At 40.5% G+C, this 19,297-nt stretch overlaps 1 protein-coding gene across 6 annotated transcripts in view, besides 1 other annotated feature; it reads right to left on the bottom strand.

Annotated features, from left to right (window-relative positions):
* The window catches only part of CCNYL1B (cyclin Y like 1B), a 29,979-nt gene extending 10,936 nt beyond the window's left edge, over positions 1 to 19,043 (bottom strand). For 4 of the 6 annotated variants that reach the window (XM_047435044.1, XM_047435043.1, XM_011546045.4 and 1 more), the window contains exons 1-7: positions 18,345 to 19,043; positions 16,960 to 17,019; positions 14,576 to 14,610; positions 9,125 to 9,225; positions 6,112 to 6,147; positions 2,926 to 2,977; positions 2,220 to 2,339 (exon numbers count right to left, since the gene is read on the bottom strand). In XM_047435044.1, coding sequence (XP_047291000.1) covers positions 2,220 to 2,339; positions 2,926 to 2,977; positions 6,112 to 6,147; positions 9,125 to 9,225; positions 14,576 to 14,610; positions 16,960 to 17,019; positions 18,345 to 18,354 — 414 coding nt within the window. In that variant the 5' untranslated portion in view covers positions 18,355 to 19,043. Of the gene's footprint in view, positions 1 to 2,219; positions 2,340 to 2,925; positions 2,978 to 6,111; positions 6,148 to 9,124; positions 9,226 to 10,949; positions 11,069 to 14,575; positions 14,611 to 16,959; positions 17,020 to 18,312 lie in introns of those variants that run through there. The other 2 variants (XM_047435042.1, XR_007065188.1) reach the window with 2 other exon arrangements.
* Positions 1 to 19,297: part of a sequence alteration artifact (region identified as an assembly artifact by the Genome Reference Consortium. This region falsely duplicates sequence located at GRCh38 chr16:34827082..35072498) that runs on past both edges of the window.

The raw sequence follows: 19,297 nt of genomic DNA on the forward strand, positions 1-19,297 counted from the left end.
CTTCTCTGCCCCAACCTTCCTCCCAACTGTGGTCTACTCTCCCCAAAGCCGTCACCATAACCTCTTAAATTAAGAACACTGCACTCCCCTCCTCAAGATCTACCATGAGCGCCCCCATCAAACTGGAATAAAACCTGAGCTTCTTCCCATGGCCTGCAAGCCAAAGGGCTCTGTGAGCTGTCGCACTGCCTGTGCAGCCTCATCTCTTCCATTCTTTCCTTCATTCCTCTCACCACGTGGGCCCCCTGGTGTTTGTTCCTTGAACACACATGAAATGTGTTTCTGTCTCAGTCTCAGCACTCATCCTACTTCCTGTCATGCCAGCACTTCTTATCGTCCTCGCTTTATAGTCAGGTCACTGTTCAAATGTGACCTCTCTAGAGATGCTCTTCCTGATCATTCTATTTGAAATAATGAGCCCCTCTCATCACTCTGTCTTTATCCTGCTTTATCGTTTTGCTATTTTCCATAACCTAAAAAAATGCTTTCCTCATTGCAACATGAGCACATAAAGACAAGGACTGTGTTCAACCTGTCCTCTTCTCTACCCCAGCACTTAGAAGAATGGGACAGGGTCGGCATGCAGGGGGTGTTTATGGAACGGACAACTTCTTGGCAGCATTTAGCCCTGTGACCACAGCCTTTCCTATCTTGACCCCTTTGCTCTTCTTTTATTATCCTCTCCTGCTCTTCCTCCTCCCACTCTAGCCACTTTACTGGGGGCTTGTCCCTTACATGCTGGTAGTCCTTACACAGCTATCTTCTGTCCACCTTCTTTTCTTTTCCTTTTTAGAGATGGGGACTTGCTATGTTGCCCAGGCTGGACACAAACTCCTGATTTCAACTGATTCTCCTGCCTCAGCCTCCCAAGCAGATGGGACTATAGGTGTGTCCCCACCATGCCCGGCTTCTCCACTTTCATTCTAAACACTTTCTCTGCATTTGAGCAGCTACTCTCTTTTTTTTTAGACAGAGTTTCACTCTCGTTGACCAGGCTGAAGTGCAGTGGTGTGATCTTGGCTTACTGCAACCTCCACCTCCTGGGTTCAAGTGATTCTCTTGCCTCAGCCTCCCGAATAGCTGGGATTACAGGCGCCAACCATGACACCCAGCGAATTTTTTGTATTTTTTAGTAGAGACAGGGTTTCACCATGTTGGTCAGGCTGCTCTCAAACTCCTGATCTTAGGTGATCCGCCTGCTTCAGCCTCCCAAAGTGCTGGGATTACAGGTGTGAGCCACTGTGCCCAGCCTTGAGCAGGTACTCTTACTCCTTATTCCTTATTTCCAGTTCAGATTCATGGTCCAGTCCCATAGATACAAATATTGACTGTACACGGCCACTCTGCTATCTTACAGGCACACCAAATTTAGCCTGTCTACAGTGAACTCCCCCTTCTTCCAATCCAGCTTTCCCTCCTGTGTCAGCTCTCTCTCTCTAGCTGGAAGTTCCACTTCTGCTTCCTGCCAGCATGTGCTGAGCATTCCAAATGGCCTGCAGCTCCATGAAGAGGACTGCACCTGATCCAATGCCCATGGAGGGATTTCTATGCAGGTGCCTAGCAGAAGCCATCTCTTCTAAGCTCTAGCCAGATGCTAAAGGAGAGGGTACTACTGTTCTAAGTATCTTTTCTCTCCTGGCTGCATGGTTGACACTCCTCTACAGGTTAGTGTGGGGAGGGGTAAATCAATCCCAGCCATCTGAAAAGGGCTTCATATTCAGAATGAGTCTCACCACAGGAATTCTGTGAGAATGATGTAGATGTAAGGACACAGCTATGGCTTAGCAGGCTACCTAGCAAAGCCTGTGTCCAAGTCTTCCTGGTACCACGTTCCTGGGCAATTTCTGGAGCAGGCACAAGAGGTCAGCAGGAACAACAAAGCATTCAGAGCAGCAGCTCCCAGTCACAGCATGCATCAGAAGTGCCCGGGGAATATGGCCTGGGACTCAGCTTAGATCTACATTGGAATCTGTTGAGGAAGAAACCAGAAATCTCTCCTGCTGCCTTTAATAGCAATTATTCTGTGATAAGAAAAGCAATGGCATCATTTTAAACCATAATGATGATTCAACTCAAATATGTGTATTTAATGGCTTGCACAGGTTTCTCTTAAAAGATCTGATGATAATTTCAGGAATCTACTTTTAGTTAGAAACATGGCCATACGCTGTGTAGGAGACCAGTTGTTAAAGATGCTTTATAAATAAGAAATATCTTACCAAAGCTACAATTGCACATGGAGCTGTTAGTTTTATGACTTGAAAAAGAGTACAGAAATGTCTGAAAATACAGTTGCGTTTGGGATCATGCTTGAAGGATTTCCCTGGAAGCTTCTCTTGCTGAAAGAAGAAAAAAGGCAATATAAATATCCACTCAAGGAAACTTTTTAAGAACTCTTAAGATGGCAGTGTTCACATTTGTGCCCATGTGTCCCTTACAACAATTTTGATGAGATAAAATGTCTTTTTATTTTAAAAATATAAACAGAAGGATATTAAAATATTTTTGGTTTTCTGTAAACATAGGCCCTAAGGTGGACCTGTGGCTATCATATATCTGAAGAAGGAAGTTTTTAAATTTTTGTAGCATTTAAACTGATTTAAATTGTTTTCTAATTCTATTTACAGAAGTTGTGCATATTTGTTAGGACTATTTACAAATATTTATATTGTTTGCTGCTATAGAAAATTATTTTTTAAATGACACATTTTGTTATTTGGATGGTATATTTACTCCCCTTAGCACACTAATTAAGCAAAGCTGCAAGTCAGCTCTTACTCCAGTGTGCCCACTTTACAACACTCCTTATATAAGATGATTAGACACAACAGAGGGAAGACTTAAAGGTGGGTGAGTCTGACTTCAGCATGAACTAAATATAACTCTATGAGACAAAAATAGAACCTCAAATAAAGCAACACTTACTGGAAGTGGATGTACTGGCTCTTCAAAAATAGCCAGAGATCTATTTGCATATCTATAAAATAAGAACGTGCATTCAAGAAATTAATTCGGGAATTGTTAATATCTTAGTAAAATATCTGCTTGGGAGTAGGGCATGGAGGGTGGAGAGAGATACCTCTTGTTTGCTTTGGTAAAATTTGTTCATCAAAAGAGTTTTTGCAAATTTTTCTCCTGGATCCTGGCCTTCAGAGGGTTTCTTGACCTGTTTTTCTTCAGCACACTATGTCGTGAACTGTGAAGTCTTTTCTACATTGATGAGCCAGACTTGCCTTTAAATATTGACCCCCGCTAACAGGCAATGGTAATAAACTATATCTATTTTCACTCCTCTAACCACATGCTGGAACGCAAGAGCATTTTATAAAGCAGTAGTGGTTGGCAATAAACTTATAACTTGTAATAAATGTGAATGAGATTCAGATTTACCAAATCTTCCTTTATTACATGTTTATCATATTTGTTTAAGTAGTTTGAGTTACAAACTTAATTGCCTTTTTATTTTAAAAGAGGCCAGTCTTAATGAACTTTAAAAAACTAACACATTGTATGCTCATTTAGGAAACCAGTGGTTCTCCAAATGTGGTTTGAGGATCCCTGAGATTCCCTAGGAGGCCCATGATGTCAAAAGTTCTTTTTTTTGAGACAGGGTTTTGCTCTTTCACCCAGGATGGAGCACAGTGGTACAAACATGGCTCACTGCAGGCTTGACTCCCTGGGCTCAAGCGATCCTCCTGCCTCAGCCTCCCATGGAGCTGGGATGAAATGTGCACACCACCATGCCCAGCTAATTTTTAATTCTTTTTTGGTATAGATGGGGTCTTGCCACATTACTCAGGCTAGTCTCAAACTCCTGGTCCCAAATAATTCTCCCACCTTGGCCTCCCAAAGTGCAGGAATTACAGGTGTCAACCACCACCTATGGCCCAAAATGTTCTTATAAGAATACTAATTCAACCTGAGAAGCTGATTGAAAATAAAACATAATTTATTACTTTCTAAAAGTATTAAGACATTGCTTGCTTTTTCACTGTTCAACACTTGTAATGATTGCATAAAAGCAAAAGTGGGTAAAACTTCTTGTTTCTCAGTAAGAATAAGGGCTGTGGTACCAAATTATACTAGTATTCATTACACTCTTCACTCCCCCTTGCAGTTTTTATTAAAATATCCTGCTTCACTTAAGAATATCCTTGATGAAACAGTAAAAATTAATGGTGTTATTAAGTCCTGAACTCTCTTTTAAGTATTCTAAGTAGTGGTGCAGGAAGTCAGGGACCCCGAACAGAGGGACCAGCTGGAGCCAAGGCAGAAGAACATAAACTGTGAAGATTTCATGGACATTTATCAGTTCCCAAAATTAATACTTTTATAATTTCTTATGCCTGTCTTTTCTGCAATCTCTGAACATAAATTGTAAAGATTTCATGGACATTTATCACTTCTCTAGTAATACTCTTATAATTTCTTATGCCTGTCTTTACTTTAATCTCTTAATCCCATTATCTCCATAAGCTGACAATGTACATCACCTCAGGACCACTATTGTACAAATTGACTGTAAACGTGTGTTTGAACAGTATGAAATCAGTGCACCTTGAAAAAGAACAGAATAACAACGATTTAAGGGAACAAGGGAAGATAACCATAAGGTCTGACTGCCTGTGGGGTTGGGCAGAATACAGCCATATTTTTCTTCTTGCAGAAAGCCTATGAATGGATGTGCGAGTAGGAGAAATATTGCTGAATTCTTTTCCCAGCAAGGAATAACCCTGGGGAAGAAATGCATTCCTGGGGGGAGGTCTATGGATGGCCGCTCTGGGAGTGTCTGTCTGATGCGGTTGAGATAAGGACTGAAATACGTGCTGGTCTCCTGCAGCGCCCTCAAGCTTACTAGGATTGGGAAATTCCAGCCTGGTAAATTCTAGTCAGACCATTTCTCTGTTCTTGAACCCTGTTTCCTGTTAAGATGTTTATCAAGACAATGCATGCACAGCAGGACATAGACCCTCATCAGTAATTCTAATTTTGCCTTCACCTTGTGATCTTTTATTGCCTTTTGAAGCATGTGATCCTTGTGAGCTACTCCCTGTTCATACACCCCCTCCCCTTTTAAAATCCCTAATAAAAACTTGCTGATTTTGCGGCTCAGGGTCGTCATCACGGTCCTACCAATATGTGATGACACCCCTGGAGGCCCAGCTGTAAAATTCCTCTCTTTGTACTCTTTTTCTTTATTTCTCAGACTGGCCGACACTTAAAGAAAATAGAAAAGAACCTACGTTGAAATATTGGGGGCTGGTTTCCCCAATAAAGTAGGAAGTTCACATAAACCACTTCTGCATACTGAAGTATGGGTATGTTAAAGAAAAGCACTTGTGATTTAATTGTGAGCTGAACAAGCAAATTTTTAACAGAACACCATTTCTATCTGAAAGTTTGACTGACTGTCATTCTCAAAAAGAAGTCAAATGAGTCTGTCATTTCAAGGAAAATAACAAGTATTTGTTGTCTATAATAAAGCTAAAGCTTTCAAGCTAAAATCAGGACTTGGAAAACTCATACCTACTACTGTGAGCTTGACGGCATCTCAATATTTGAAGACATTTTTATAATCATGGTGATACTAATGAAAGTGAGTTTTTGACACTATCAATGAACATGAATTAATATTTTCCAAATAGCCAATGCATAATATTATAAAAGACAGTAAGTGGAGAGATCCATTTATGGTATGAGAAAGATCAGTGAGTATTAGTGGAATGAATTCATTGATATGTACAATCCCATTATAACTATTTTAATAAGTCAGCACTTGTGAAGTTTTGGTGTGGTTAAAGAATACCCACGATTACCTGAAAGCTTTAAAAATACACATTTTTCCTACTACACATTTGCATGAGGCTAGTTCATCTTTTTATTTCTTCTTTACAATAAATTGCAAACAAGACATAAACAAATACACTTTGGGACCCTCAATAATTTAAGAGTTAAAAGAGTCTTACAGACCAAAAAACCCACAAATGATTCACTTTAATACTGTAAAGTAAGCACTCTACAGCTTATGTCTATAGTTATGACCTAACAGCATGTTTCATATTATACAAAGTGATGAGCTGGAATAACAAGGCAGGTTTTCAAAGAGCTCACCTGTGCTTTATGTTGTAATATATTGCCAAAGCCACACTGTGGAGGGAAAAAATATATTTGTAAGAACTGATTTTATCATTGGTTAGGCCTGAATACATGTTTTTAAAAGGGGGAGGAGGAATTCTCTCAGTGGCCCTGAAATCCTCTTGTTCAAAACAGTACCATATGAGCACTTTTCTTTTGTTTTAGCTCTCTGGCTTTATAGTGAAAATAGGAGAACCAAAATGCTAGGCAATATGCTGTTAGAAGATGTTTCTGCTGATGGTTATTATATATAAATAATTACATATTTTCCCTGTCATTTGCTATTCTACCCATAGAACCTTTCATCCTGTGCAAGTCACTTACATCTATGTGTACATAAGCTTACATTTAGGCCATATAGTAGTGTTTTGCTTGTTAAGTGGCTAGGCCCTGCATTTCAGCTGATTTAGTTCTCCATCGCCTACTCACCCATTTATCATTAGTTCCCTAAAAGCACACAATGATTGTGCTTTATACCAAATAAAGTAATTTAAAATCACCTCTGCATAATTATTAACAGAAAATTTATTAGTAAATATAATGCACACAAAAATTGATGACACTTGTAACTATCCTGAAATAAGCAGCACTAAAGAGCATAACACAGCATCATACAATATTCATGACAGGTATTTCCACATTCGTTTAAACAAAATATTAGTGAACAAATACAACTCTTCAGATGTATGTTACTGTGGTCCTCAGTCATCCTCAGATGGTGTGTGTCAGCAAACAGGGGCTTCTCTTGGATAAGTTCTGTGCTTCCATTTGCCCTCAGCATTTAAAATGAGGCTCAGAATAATTTGAGAAGGCAAATTTGAGTTGTAAAAAGTAGACCTTACAACATTATTAGCATCTAAGATCGATATTTCTATAGTGCCTCAAACAGTTCCATCTCCAAATTGATTTCAAAATCACAGAATTTGAAGTTACATGCTGAAAAGGCCACTGAACCTTACATGACACTCCATGAACCACCCATTTTACAAATAAGAGAACCAAGGCTTCAAACTGACTTGCCCAAGATCCCCACATAGTGCTTTTGTGAACTGCAGGAGTTCACAAAACACTGTGGTATGGTTTAAATTTAAGCATATGCACACATACATAGAAATGACTTGCACAGATGAAAGGCTCTATGAGTAGAAAGAAGAGCAAATGACAGGGAAACATGTAATTTATACGTTAGAACCATCACTCCTCCGTGCAAAGGAAGCAGTGGCCCCCACGTTTGCTGCACACTGGACCACCTAAGGAGCTTTAAAAACAGCCTCACCACCAGCTGGAGACATTCTGATTTAATTGGCATTGTGTATGATTTGGGCATCAGGGTTGTTGGTAAAGATCCCCAGGTGAATCCAATGTGCTGCAAAGTTTGAGAATGACTGAGTTAGGGTTAAGGTCAGAATCATCTGGGATGCTTTTATCCATATAATGATGCCTCACATACTTAACCATTTTTCTAAAAGGCTTGTGAGTGCCAGAGATGGAGGGAATGTGGAGCTGGGAAGATGCATGTGTTTGCAGAGATATATTTTGAAGAAACAGGTATAAGTGATTCTAATATGGCTCACTCATGCCTTTGAGTACAATGGACTACTAACCATGGAAAACATTTTTGAAAATCTTTCTGAAAGCCAATTTGCTCTATTAATTTGCTCAGTAAATCTTTATTTCATAAAAGTAAATATACCAAATGATCCCTTCTAAAATTTGAGAGCAAATTAAAACTAACTGTATTTCAAAAATAGACTTCCAGGCCAGGCGTGGTAGCTCATGCCTGTAATCATAGCACTTTGGGAGGCTGAGTTGGGTGGATTGCTTGAGACCAGGAGTTTGAGACCAGCCTGGCCAACACAGCAAAACCCCATCTCTAAAAAAGAAAAAAATAATCTATTTTAAAACAACTTGTAAGAATTAGACTATGCTGGAAGAAAAAGCAGAACCTCTACTTGTTTGAGCAAGGTGAAGCTTAAAAACTACTTTTGAATTGCATACTGAAACATCAGAATCTTTTGAAATCATAAGAAACCAGGGACTCTAGCCAAAACAGAGTGCCTTTTTACTTAGGGCTGAATACAAACATTAGGTGATGACTCCATAGAGGCCAAAACTCAGGGCTTTAGACACAGGTGGAGTCCAGTTCCTGATGAAACACAATTTGATCTCAATAATTGTTACACAGGAGAGAGGAAAGTGACATTATTATGAGTGTAAGTTTATCATTTTTAATTAAAGTAGAAGTTACTGACAAATTAGCTTAAAAAGCTAGTACATTAGAAACAAAATTAAGCTTGTAAGCTAGTCATGTTTATAGACTGGAAAGTTAAGTTAGGGATAAGGACATTAACATGCTAAGGTAGTAGTTCTCAAACTGTTTTCCCAAAAATCAATGCTCGTAATCTAAGGAGATGTTAATAATGTTCCCTGGATGCCTCAATGGAACTGGGCTTTGTTGTGACTTTTTAAATAAACTTGAACCCATCGTCCAAGGGTGTTTTGAAAAGGCATTTCTGATTGTGGCCTATGAAGTGCTCATGCATGATGGCAAAATGTAAATGCAGATATACTATGGCACCACTGGAGGACAAGCTGTTCCTTCTTTCAAGAGTAGTTTCCAAAGTATTACCCATCGTCTTTGGCCTGTAAAGAACTAATAATTTTTCCCAGAAACTTTCAATAAAAAGCACCTCTCCTTCCCATTAGGTTCAACACTGTCATAACATAAATGCATCAAATAAATAGCTACTCTTTTTCTGGGATTGCTTATTTGCTATCTGGCTTTCCCTTCTACCACACAGCATCTAAGGTTAAAAGAGAAACAGAAAATTCATATTTAGGTCCCAGAAATCCATATATCATTGACATCAACTTCTTAAACTGCTTGCTGAAAAGGGCAACCAAATGGCTGAAATGACAGAGGATGGCTGTGATGCTTTTAGCATATGGGGGTCTGTCACTCAGCCCTTGGCAGCCTCGTTTTACTCACCTTTCTAATGTATGTCTAAGGTCAGGCTGGCTGGCTGTGCTGTTATCTAGCAATATGGTGGAACATGAGCCGTATTTTCTATCAAGATGCCATGGAGGTATCTGAAGGAGAAGGAAGATAGAGAAAAATGTCACAGTAGGCTGAACCTACAAAAGTGTGGGCTTTTTTCCTTAGTCAAAATGTCAAATAATAAAGCATTAAGGTATTTTTTATACCCCATGACCTGCCTGAGTGTGGTATTGTGAGCAGCTCTATGGGAAACTCATTGGAGGTGCTTAACTTCTGCAGATGATGTTCGAGGAATGGGTTATAAAATGCTGCCCTTGCTATGATACCAATCGTCAAACCCAGGAAGCCTCTATTATGAATTCCCTTTATAAATAATGGGAAAAGTTTAAAGTAAGATTTCATGGTTTTTTATTATGCAGTAAAAAGCAGCTGAGATTTTCTATTTCTATTATTCATTAACTACAACAAAATGTCATACATTAAATAATATTGGCACAACAGCATTTTTATTGCAGTAAATAAAGACCTAATACTACATTCACTAAATTACTAATCCTAAATATACTCATTCAAGAGACAGTGTGATGGAATCAGAATTTTAGAGTCAGAGATTCTGTGTGCCAGGGCTGCTCAGTGACCAAACAATTGAGGGGCCATGGGTTTCTCTGGGCCTGTTTCCTTGGGGGAAGATAGAAAAAGTACTACTTTAAGACTCTCACATTTGAAAATCAGATGAGGAAAACCACTTCAGGAATTTAACTTTCACTTCGTGTTTACATAAGACTGCTATTACATTACTCAAATGAGAACTTCCGAGAATACTTTGCATTCATTTCAAAAGTTGATTGATTTTATTCTGTAAGTAATTTGACACACATCATGGCACTGTCCTGCCTCAGTCATGCTGCTCTCTGCCCAGAATACCTATTTCTTTCCTCCTTATCCCAGCAAGCTTCACCTCCTCTGCCTTCCGGGATGCCTCTGCCAGCAGCCACACCACAAAACATTTCCGGTTTTGTGTACTCGTCAGTCTAATTCACCGTGTGTTACATGATAGCAATTGCCTGCAAAGCATCCCCCTGGTGAAAAAGAAAGCCTCTCCAGGGGAGGGAGGGTCCTTCCTCTCCTACCTGCAGCTGCTGAGCACAGAATGTGGGAGAAATTAAGGAGTTCAATAAGTGCTTGACAAGTTATTTAAATCAGTTACAATTTGGAAGGTAAATCTTCCTACAGTTACAAATTGGTGAAATTTATCTGCAGTGCTATCAGAGAGGTGACAGTGAACCTTTTGAGCCCTCTAGAAAATAAACTATTTATAAAACACTTTAAAAGTATCTATTCATTTGTCGAGGGTGCAACAGTCAATATGGAAACTGCCTCATCTATGTTTAAAAAAATGCTCTTCCTGGCCGGGCACAGTGGCTCACTCCGGTAATCCCAGCCCTTTGGGAGGCTGAGGCAGGTGGATCATGAGGCCCGGAGTTCAAGACCAGCCTGGCCAAGATGGTGAAACCCCGTGTCTACTAAAAATACAAAAATTAGCCAGGTGTGGTGGTGGGTGCGTGTAATCTCAGCTACTCAGGAAGCTGAGACAGAGAATTGCTTGAACCTGGGAAACAGAGGTTGCAGTGAGCCGAGATCATGCCACTGCATTCCAGCCTGTGTGACAGAGCAAGACTCTGTCTTAAAAAAAAATGCTCTTTCTTAAAAATAATGGCAGTAACCAAATCCTAGTCACCAAATGGTTGAAGAGATCAACAGCATTATTTAAAACCACAAAATACCAATTATTTTAGCTTTTAAAAAAATAACTCACATGAGCCTTCCTTCTTCCTATTGGGATATGCTTGTCTGCATCATGTTATCACACTCTTCCATCAGGGTCTCCCACAAGTACATGAAAGACAGGGTAGGGAGGAGATCTAGCAGTTGTTTCTAAAAGTACACAGTATTTAAAAATTGCCTGTAGCCAATAATCAGAAATATCCATACAGTCTAACACCATTTTGCTTGTTTCAGATGCTTTTCACTGTAAATTCACTTACTTCTTAACAAAAATCCCAGATGTTTTTGAACAATATTACTATTTGAAGGACCAAATTCTCCTTCAAGGTAGAAATGTTTTAACTCTAGCTAAACTCTTATGTCTCTTAAGCTATTCTATTAATGTATATACTTTACATTAACAGTGTATGTATGTCAATGTACATACTTTTATTGCCTGAAAAAACAAAAATAGCATGAAAAATAAAAATGGACTCACTCAGATACTTTCATTCAAAGTGAAAGAAAGTATCCCTTAAGGTCACCACTATTAGGGGTAATACAGCATAATACTACGCGGTAACAAAAGTCAATTCTGAGAAAAAATCCATATATGAGAATAAAAAGAACAGAAAAAAAAACGCACCAAAACGCAGACTAGCTGGTACAGCTTTAGGTGATACCTGTCCCCATTTTGTTCTATTTAAAATCTCATATAATGAACATATATTGGGGTGTGTGTGTGTGTGTGTGTGTGTGTGTGTGTGTGTGCGCGCTTTGAGGAAGTCTTGCTGTGTTTCCCACCCTGGAGTGCAGTGGCCTGAACTCAGCTTACTGCAACCGCCGCCTCCCAAGTTCAACCAATTCTCCTGCCTTGGCCTCCTGTGTAGCTGGAAATACAGGCATGTGCCATCATGCCGGGCTAATTTTTGTATTTTTAGTAGAGATGGGGTTTCACCATGTCGGCCATGCTGGTCTCAAACTCCTGGCCTCAAGTGATCTGCCTGCCTCAGCCTCTCAAAGTGCTGGGATACAGGTGTGAGCCACCATGCTCAGCTCTCAAGATCACTTTTTTCTCCCCATTTTTTTAAGAGACATCTTTCAGATATTTTTAAAATAATTAATGACTTTTAGCTAACTTAAAAATTTATAACATTTTGTGTACTAACAAAAACAGCTCCATCTATGTTGCACAGCAATGGGACCACATGGCATGTATGGAGTTTGAATAGAATTCTTACACAAGGCCTGAGTGGAAAAGTGTTATGTGCTTATTGTAAGTATAAATAGAAATTGTCTGAATTAATGTCATAATTATGTTGAATTTAAACTTAGATTTACACTTATATATGGGTTAAATCATTAAATATGATGGATTGACCAGAAATTTATTTTCTCTTCCTTCTGAAATCTCATTAGTATTATTCATAAAATAAACATTATACACAGGACCAGGAGACAAGATTGATGGCAGATCATTCTGAGTCAATGATGCAAGGTGAAAAGCTGATAGAGGAGTTGCAACTGACATGGAAGCACAACTTTGGAGCTGACAGGGAGTGACTTGAACAGAAACAAGTGATCTTCTTTGTTTTGAAGAACCCAACTCAGGCTCCAAAATCAGAGGCACATGGTACCTGGGAAGGTAGGGTGAAATATACAACTGAAGCCAGCAAGGTCAACTGTAAATCTGTGCTTAGAGCCCCAAGTCCACCTCTCTTCCCATCTTAGAAGGAATTTGGATGTGTATTCTCTGGATATTTTATACCTGAGGGTTTCTGGGCTCAGAACTACTAGGGCTAAAACCTGGGAAATGGGAATAAATTGCACACACAAAGTGAAACTGCACCTTCCTTCCCAACCCTGCTTCTAGAAAGCCAGCAGCCGTGCTTGCACTGCCCAGGCAGAAAACTGGGAGATCCTCCTTGGAAGAAAACTAAACCATTGCAAAGAAAATACCCACATATAATACACTGAGTTTCCCCAAAAGAAAAGCTGGCTTGACCTCCAAATCCCCACAATGAGACCCCTCAGTGAACAAAGGTCCTGCTTCCAAATAGAGAAAGGCAAAGACTACCACACATCTCAGGGAAGCCTCCAATGAGAGATCAAAACAACAGGAAAAAGGAATTCTGGGACCAGTAAAAATTAAGGAGCAAAACTTTTTAAAAAAATCTTAAAATACCCTTAAGGAGATTTTAAAAATTCAATAGAAGGGTTAGCGCAGAAAGTCAAAGAATCTCTAAGAAGCAGAACAAAAGACAAATTGGAAAATAGGAGGGGAAGAAATTAAAGATCAATGCAGAAATACTGCTATAAGAGGCCGAACATTTGAATCATAAGAATACTAAAATAATAATAAAACAGAGAATATAGGACAATTCTCTAAAAGAGATAGTCTGCAGACTTAATGGCTGCAATAAAATAAAAGGTCCCCACAAAGCTGTATTATACAATTTCCGAATCCCAGGAATACAGAAGGTCTTAAAAAGCTCAAAAATGTAAAAATTGGTTACATATGATGTATCACACAATGGCAATAGTTTCAAGTACAGTATAATGAAAACACAATAGGGAAATGTCTTCAGAGCCATGAAACTTAGTTTTCACTCTAGAATTTTATACTCTATAACAAAAGAAGGGTTTGGAGAGAGGCTAGATCTCTATACATGTGTGTCCATGAGCCTTTCCTCAGAAACTGTGCTCCAGCACCACTGGGGAGTAACACAAGGCAGAGGGCAATGCACAGTCTAGGACTCAGGGATCCAACATGAGTGGGCGCATAAGAGTTCAGAGAGGGCTCCCAGGGAAACAGGCCCAGGGCAGCCTAGGGAAACACAGTCTATCCTGGAGGAGGATAACCAAAGGCCAAGGAAAGTTCCTTCAAGAAAAAACACAGAACATATGTTTTAGTAAATAAAACATTATTTTTGATAGGCATGTGACAAATGTTACACCACTTGGGGAAGAATAGCTGTTAAAAAAGAGGCAAAGGAACATAGTCAGAAAATTAATTCCACACACAAAATAATGAAGGAGGTGAAAACAAAGAGGCCAGCTGGGGGCTAATGGTCGTATTTGGCTTTATGAGCTATCATGGGCTAGGAAAAGGGGGATTATCTGGGAGAAGTGCAGAAGTGTTCAGATTTCAGAAATATTTAAGAGAAACAATGAAGGATGCACAAGGAGGAGGCACAGTCAGAACACTACATGACTCAGCAGTGAATAATATGTGCATAGTCATAATCATGTAAATATCAATTAGTGATTTAATAAAAAATGGGTTACAGGTGGAAGAAACGGGGAGGGAAATAAGGTCACAGTGGAGTGAGGAAGCTACGCTTTCACCTGCTATGACAGGAAGTCAGGAGAAAGTGTTGGAGAAAGTAGACTCAGCTATTTTTAATTTTATTTGAATACAAAAGATTAAATATTTAAGGCAGATATTTATATCACAACCAAATTGTGATATAATATCACAATCACCCTTAAAAATGGGCACAGTAAGCTACAGACTTTCCTGTATAAATCTGATACTTAGGAAAATAGAAGAGATTTAGAAAGTCCATCAGAAAAGGATCACACTAACAGCACCGGCTCCCTGTTAAATTTTTAAGGAATCATGACAGACTTTTAATTCAAACAATCAATTTCTTAACTTTTCAAAAGTTTACTTACATAATATAGGTGAGAGCTGCTCCTCTTTTCTTGCACTAAGAATGAAAAAATAACTAATCAATTCTGGTATAAATACCATAGAATAAAAGTAGTTGCTAATCATCTGATTATCACTATATAAAATGAGATAAAATTCCATTTTAAAAAATTCTTACCAACAAAAGTTATCATTTAAATAATCCGGCATAAAGTAAAATCTAAAAATATAGTTTTATTTTTGACCTAACAGATGTTCTATTACACAAAAATGAAAGAATCCCCATGTACACAAGGAAAGGCAAAACAAATTAGGCAACGTGTATGCCCTCCAAATCTCATGTTGAAATGTAGTCCCCAGTGTTGGAGGTGGGGAAGTGTTTGGATCACGGGGGCAGATCCCTCATGAATGGCTTAGCGCCATCCCCTTGGTGATGAGGGAGTTCCTGCTCTGAGTTCATACATGATCTTCTTGGGTTTTTGTTGTTGTTGTGGTGGTTGTTCTGAGATGGGGTCTCACTCTGATGCCCAGGCTGGAGCACAGTGCCATGATTATGGTTCACTGCAACCTTGACCTCCTGGGCTCAAGTGATCCTCCCACCTTAGCCTGCGGAGTAGCTGGGGCTGCAAGCACGAACCACCACACCTGGCTAATTTTTAAATTTTTTGTAGAGACAGGGTCTCACTATGTTGGCCAAGGCTGGTCTCAGACTCCAGCCTCAAGTGATCTGCCTGCCTCAGCCTCCCAAAGTGCTGGGGTTACAGGCATGAGCCACCACACCTGGCCTGATCTGCTTGTTTAAAAGAAGGCGGCACCTCCCACTCTCTCTTGCTCCTCCTCTCACCATGTGAGAGATGACTTCACCTTCCACCATGATTATTAGTTTCTTGAAGCCCTTGCCAGAAGCAGATGCTAGCACCACACTTCCTGTACAGCCTGTAGAACCGTGAGCCAATAAAGCCTCTTTTTTTATAAATTATCCAGTCTCAGGTATTCCTTCATAGAAATGCCAAAATACAGGACAGATGAGAAATTTAGCTAATAAAAAATTTACCTATTGTATATCTGAACCCCTAAGCAGTAGTGTTTTCTGATTCTACATTTACACATAGCTTACTTTCATTACCAAGATCTAATAGCTGACAGCTCTAAGAACCAGTTTCTGGCCAGGAGCCAGTCTTTAGATGCACTAGAATCCCTGCAAGCATCCAATGACTGATCGGTCGTCTACTAATATGTTACTGAAAAAATAAACAGGTCTTTACACAACTGAAAAGTAGCCTAGCTTAACTCAAATGTTAACATGAGTGTGCCAACCTAAATGAACTTGGTATCCTCAGGACACAAAATCATTTCATTCTAATACAGGTCCAAAGAATAAAAGCTACAAGGGGGACTTGGGCCACACTTTGTTCCCTACAATGCCTCCTTCTTTGAAGTTGAGCTGGTCTCACTGACACACATTTCTCACTGCTGAAGAGACAGGGGCATGGGGTAGGTTTTCTTCCACTTCCATACACTCTATGTGTGAGAAGCCCATGGCTCTGGAAGAAACTGAGAAATACAACAATCCTAACCAGAAGTTACCAGCTTGAGACAGGCAAAGTCCATACAAACTATGAAAATGCAGGGGAGAAACCCATTTTTTATTGTGCTGCATTACTTCAGATGTTATTATAGAAACCCCACTTCTTGTATTCTTGCTGTTGAAAACAACTGAAAAACATGGTGTATGGCTTTTTTGAAAAAACAGTAAGATTTAGCAGAATGTTACAAAAAAATAAGCAGGAGTACAGAAAACTCCTACAGTTCTAATTCTCATCCTAAAACAAGCAGGATGTGGAAACTTTACACTAGTTTCACACACTAAGGCTAACCTGGAAAACAGCACAGGCCATGTTTACATTTCCATTACATTCGAATGAAAAAGTTCTGAGTAGCATGAACATGGATGTGACAGGCTCATGCGGTTAGAGCACTGTGTAAAAAGGAGGCCAAAATCACGGATCCAATCTAGAACAACAGATTCTTTTGATTTGTTCAAGTGAACTCCAAGCTGTAGCCTAAATCTTATCACTCATCATTAACATGTACTCTTTGGAGCAAGGGAAAAATGGGAAAGATGTATGAAGAAAAAGGCATACATCCATGACTACTACACCAAATCATGTGGCCAATTAATTGCATTGATAAAAATGTCATCAAACGTGGAGACATAAAGCCTGCATGTTTCCATGAACAGTGTCAACTAAAGGAAATTATGTCACATATTAAAATAAGACAAGTAAATATATAAAAAGTTGAAATTTTTTTAACTAATATCTGAGTTCCTCTAAATACTTTCTGTAATACATGAAACAGAAAGTTTGTAGTTTTTTGCTTGGAGGAAGAAACAATATTGTCTTACCACTCATTTGATATTTTCTCAGGAAGAGTGTGCTTTCCCCTGGACAGTCAGAAGCAAAATCTGTAGAGGAAGAAGGAAAAATGTGATAATTTAAGTGAGTAGAAAAGATTCTTTTTAAAGCTACACATCCATTTTAATCACTTTTAAGAGTCTTGAGAAAAGTTTTTAGTGATAAATGTAAAGAAAATAAAGGCCACAATGTCCCAATTCTACTGGAGAATGCAAAAATCACAGAAGTTCTCCACGTATGTGGAATAAAACCAGGCTGTGTCTGGGACTTCATTTTAGAACTTGCACCTAAATAAACTGATGCCACTTTTAGATGAATCATACACACGCCCTCCTCCTTCTACTTATCAAATATACCCACCCTCCTCTATGCTGCTATTACCAGCGCATTTCAGGGAAAGTCTCAAGCAGCAAGTGATGCTGTGGTCAATTACTGTCAGACACCGGCTCAATATAGCAAATATGTTAAAATAAAGAGCTGTTTTGGGCAAAAAAACAATTTTTTAAAGAGACAGGGTCTCACTCTGTTGCCCAGGCTGGAGTGATGCAATGGTGCGATGGAGCCAGCATAGCTCACTGAAGCTTCAAACTCCTGGGCTCAAAATATCCTCTTGCAGCTGAGACTATGGGTGCAAGCCACCATACCTGGCTAATTTTTAACCCTTTTTTTTTGTAGAGACAGGGTGATACATGAGACGTACATGAAAATGTGTTGTAAATCCTAAAGAATGATATAAAGAGTCTATTTTGGGCTCTCATCCAACACTACCCATCTACTACCTAGTGTGTAAAACCACTCCGAGGCCTACCTTACACCACCAAACGAGGAAAAACTTTCACAAGTACTTGCATGCTTTGTGTATAAAGGTACAATTCATTCACATACTATCTTTGTTCATTCTTTCACGATTTTTTAATATTCCGAGAGTACAGTACTTTCCAGCAACAAAGCCACATTCATCATGAAGCTTAATTATTCAAACGTTTAAATAAATTAAGAGGTCAACCAATGTTTAAACAGAAGAGCTGTAAGACACTTCCTCTATAGCAATGAAATCTGTAGCATACATTTTCTATTTTGAAAACTTAGTTTCTGCCTAGCCTTGGGGGATGAGAAAGGGGCCAGAACTGGGCACTGGGGTAGGGAGGAGGAGAGAAACCACCAGATGCTACAGGGAAAAAAAATTGGTTGCAGGGGGGAGGTGGGGGACGTAGGCACGAGGCAAGGCCAGTCCTCCTGCCTGGTGCCTGGGCCTAGGAAACCTGGCTAGGGGCAGGAGGGAGGAGTCCGAGGCTGTGGATGCCTCTGGGGGGACCTTGGGACAGCGGCTGCCAGAGGCTCACCTGAGGGCAAACACTATCAGTCGCCTCCTTACTTTTGGGCATCTCCTGGTCACTGATGTGTTGCAGGTCATGGCCCTCGCGGGCTCCGAAATCCGACTGGGCAGGCTCCACAGCAGTGGGGTGTGGGGATTTTTTTTTTTTTTTACTGCCACCTCTGCCTCCGTGAGGTTATAGCTGCAGGGCGGTTCCGCCCACAGCACCCTGCGCTGGCTTTGCTTGGGGCTGGCATCAGGGAGCAGCATGTTCCATCTGCGGCGCCTCCGCTCCTCTCTGCCTTGGCCTACACCTTTGCTTGACGCTGCCTCATAGATGTCAGCGCTGCAGGACAGCTCCCCAGACCTCCTGCGCTGGCCCCGCTTGAGGCTGGCGTTGGTGCCCAAGCAATAGCTCAGCGTGGGCTATCCCCATGGGGTAGCCCGGCTCCTCTCCAGCAGCTTGGGCCTTCCCTTGCTTCCAAGTCTGCAGAGCTCAGCACTTCCACCTCTTCCCAGGAAAGGCACGCTGGCAGGGCCAGCCCCGGCTATGGGGCTGCACCCCACTAGCAGCCCGCACCCCGCCTCAGCCGCCTCCCCTGAGCTGACTTGTCTGCAAGGGTCCCTTGGGAATCTGCTTGGTTTATTTAGAATGGGTCTAGATGCAACAAGCCTGAGAGTTGTGACTGCGGAGAAGAGAGCACAGATGGAGCTCCTCCTCCTCCCACCGCTTCCCACCAACTGAAGGAGGTTGCCCTGCCAACCGCCAGAGCTCCCTCCCGGTTCCCAGGAACCAATCAGGCCCAGAGACCCCTCCACGTGCCCCCGCCCCCATTGTGATGTAGGAGCCTAGGCACAAGGCTCACTAGGCCCTGCCATGCCGGCAGCCCCGCCCCCACCTTTCATTCATTACTGGCTGCTGGGAGCTTTCAGGTTTCTCCACTGTGAGGAAGATCTTATGTTTTCAACAAAAGAAGAGGCTTATGTAAAAGAAAACTGGGCCGGGCGCGGTG

The sequence above is a fragment of the Homo sapiens genome, chromosome 16, assembly GCF_000001405.40.
Source record: "Homo sapiens chromosome 16, GRCh38.p14 Primary Assembly".
NCBI lineage: Eukaryota > Metazoa > Chordata > Mammalia > Primates > Hominidae > Homo > Homo sapiens.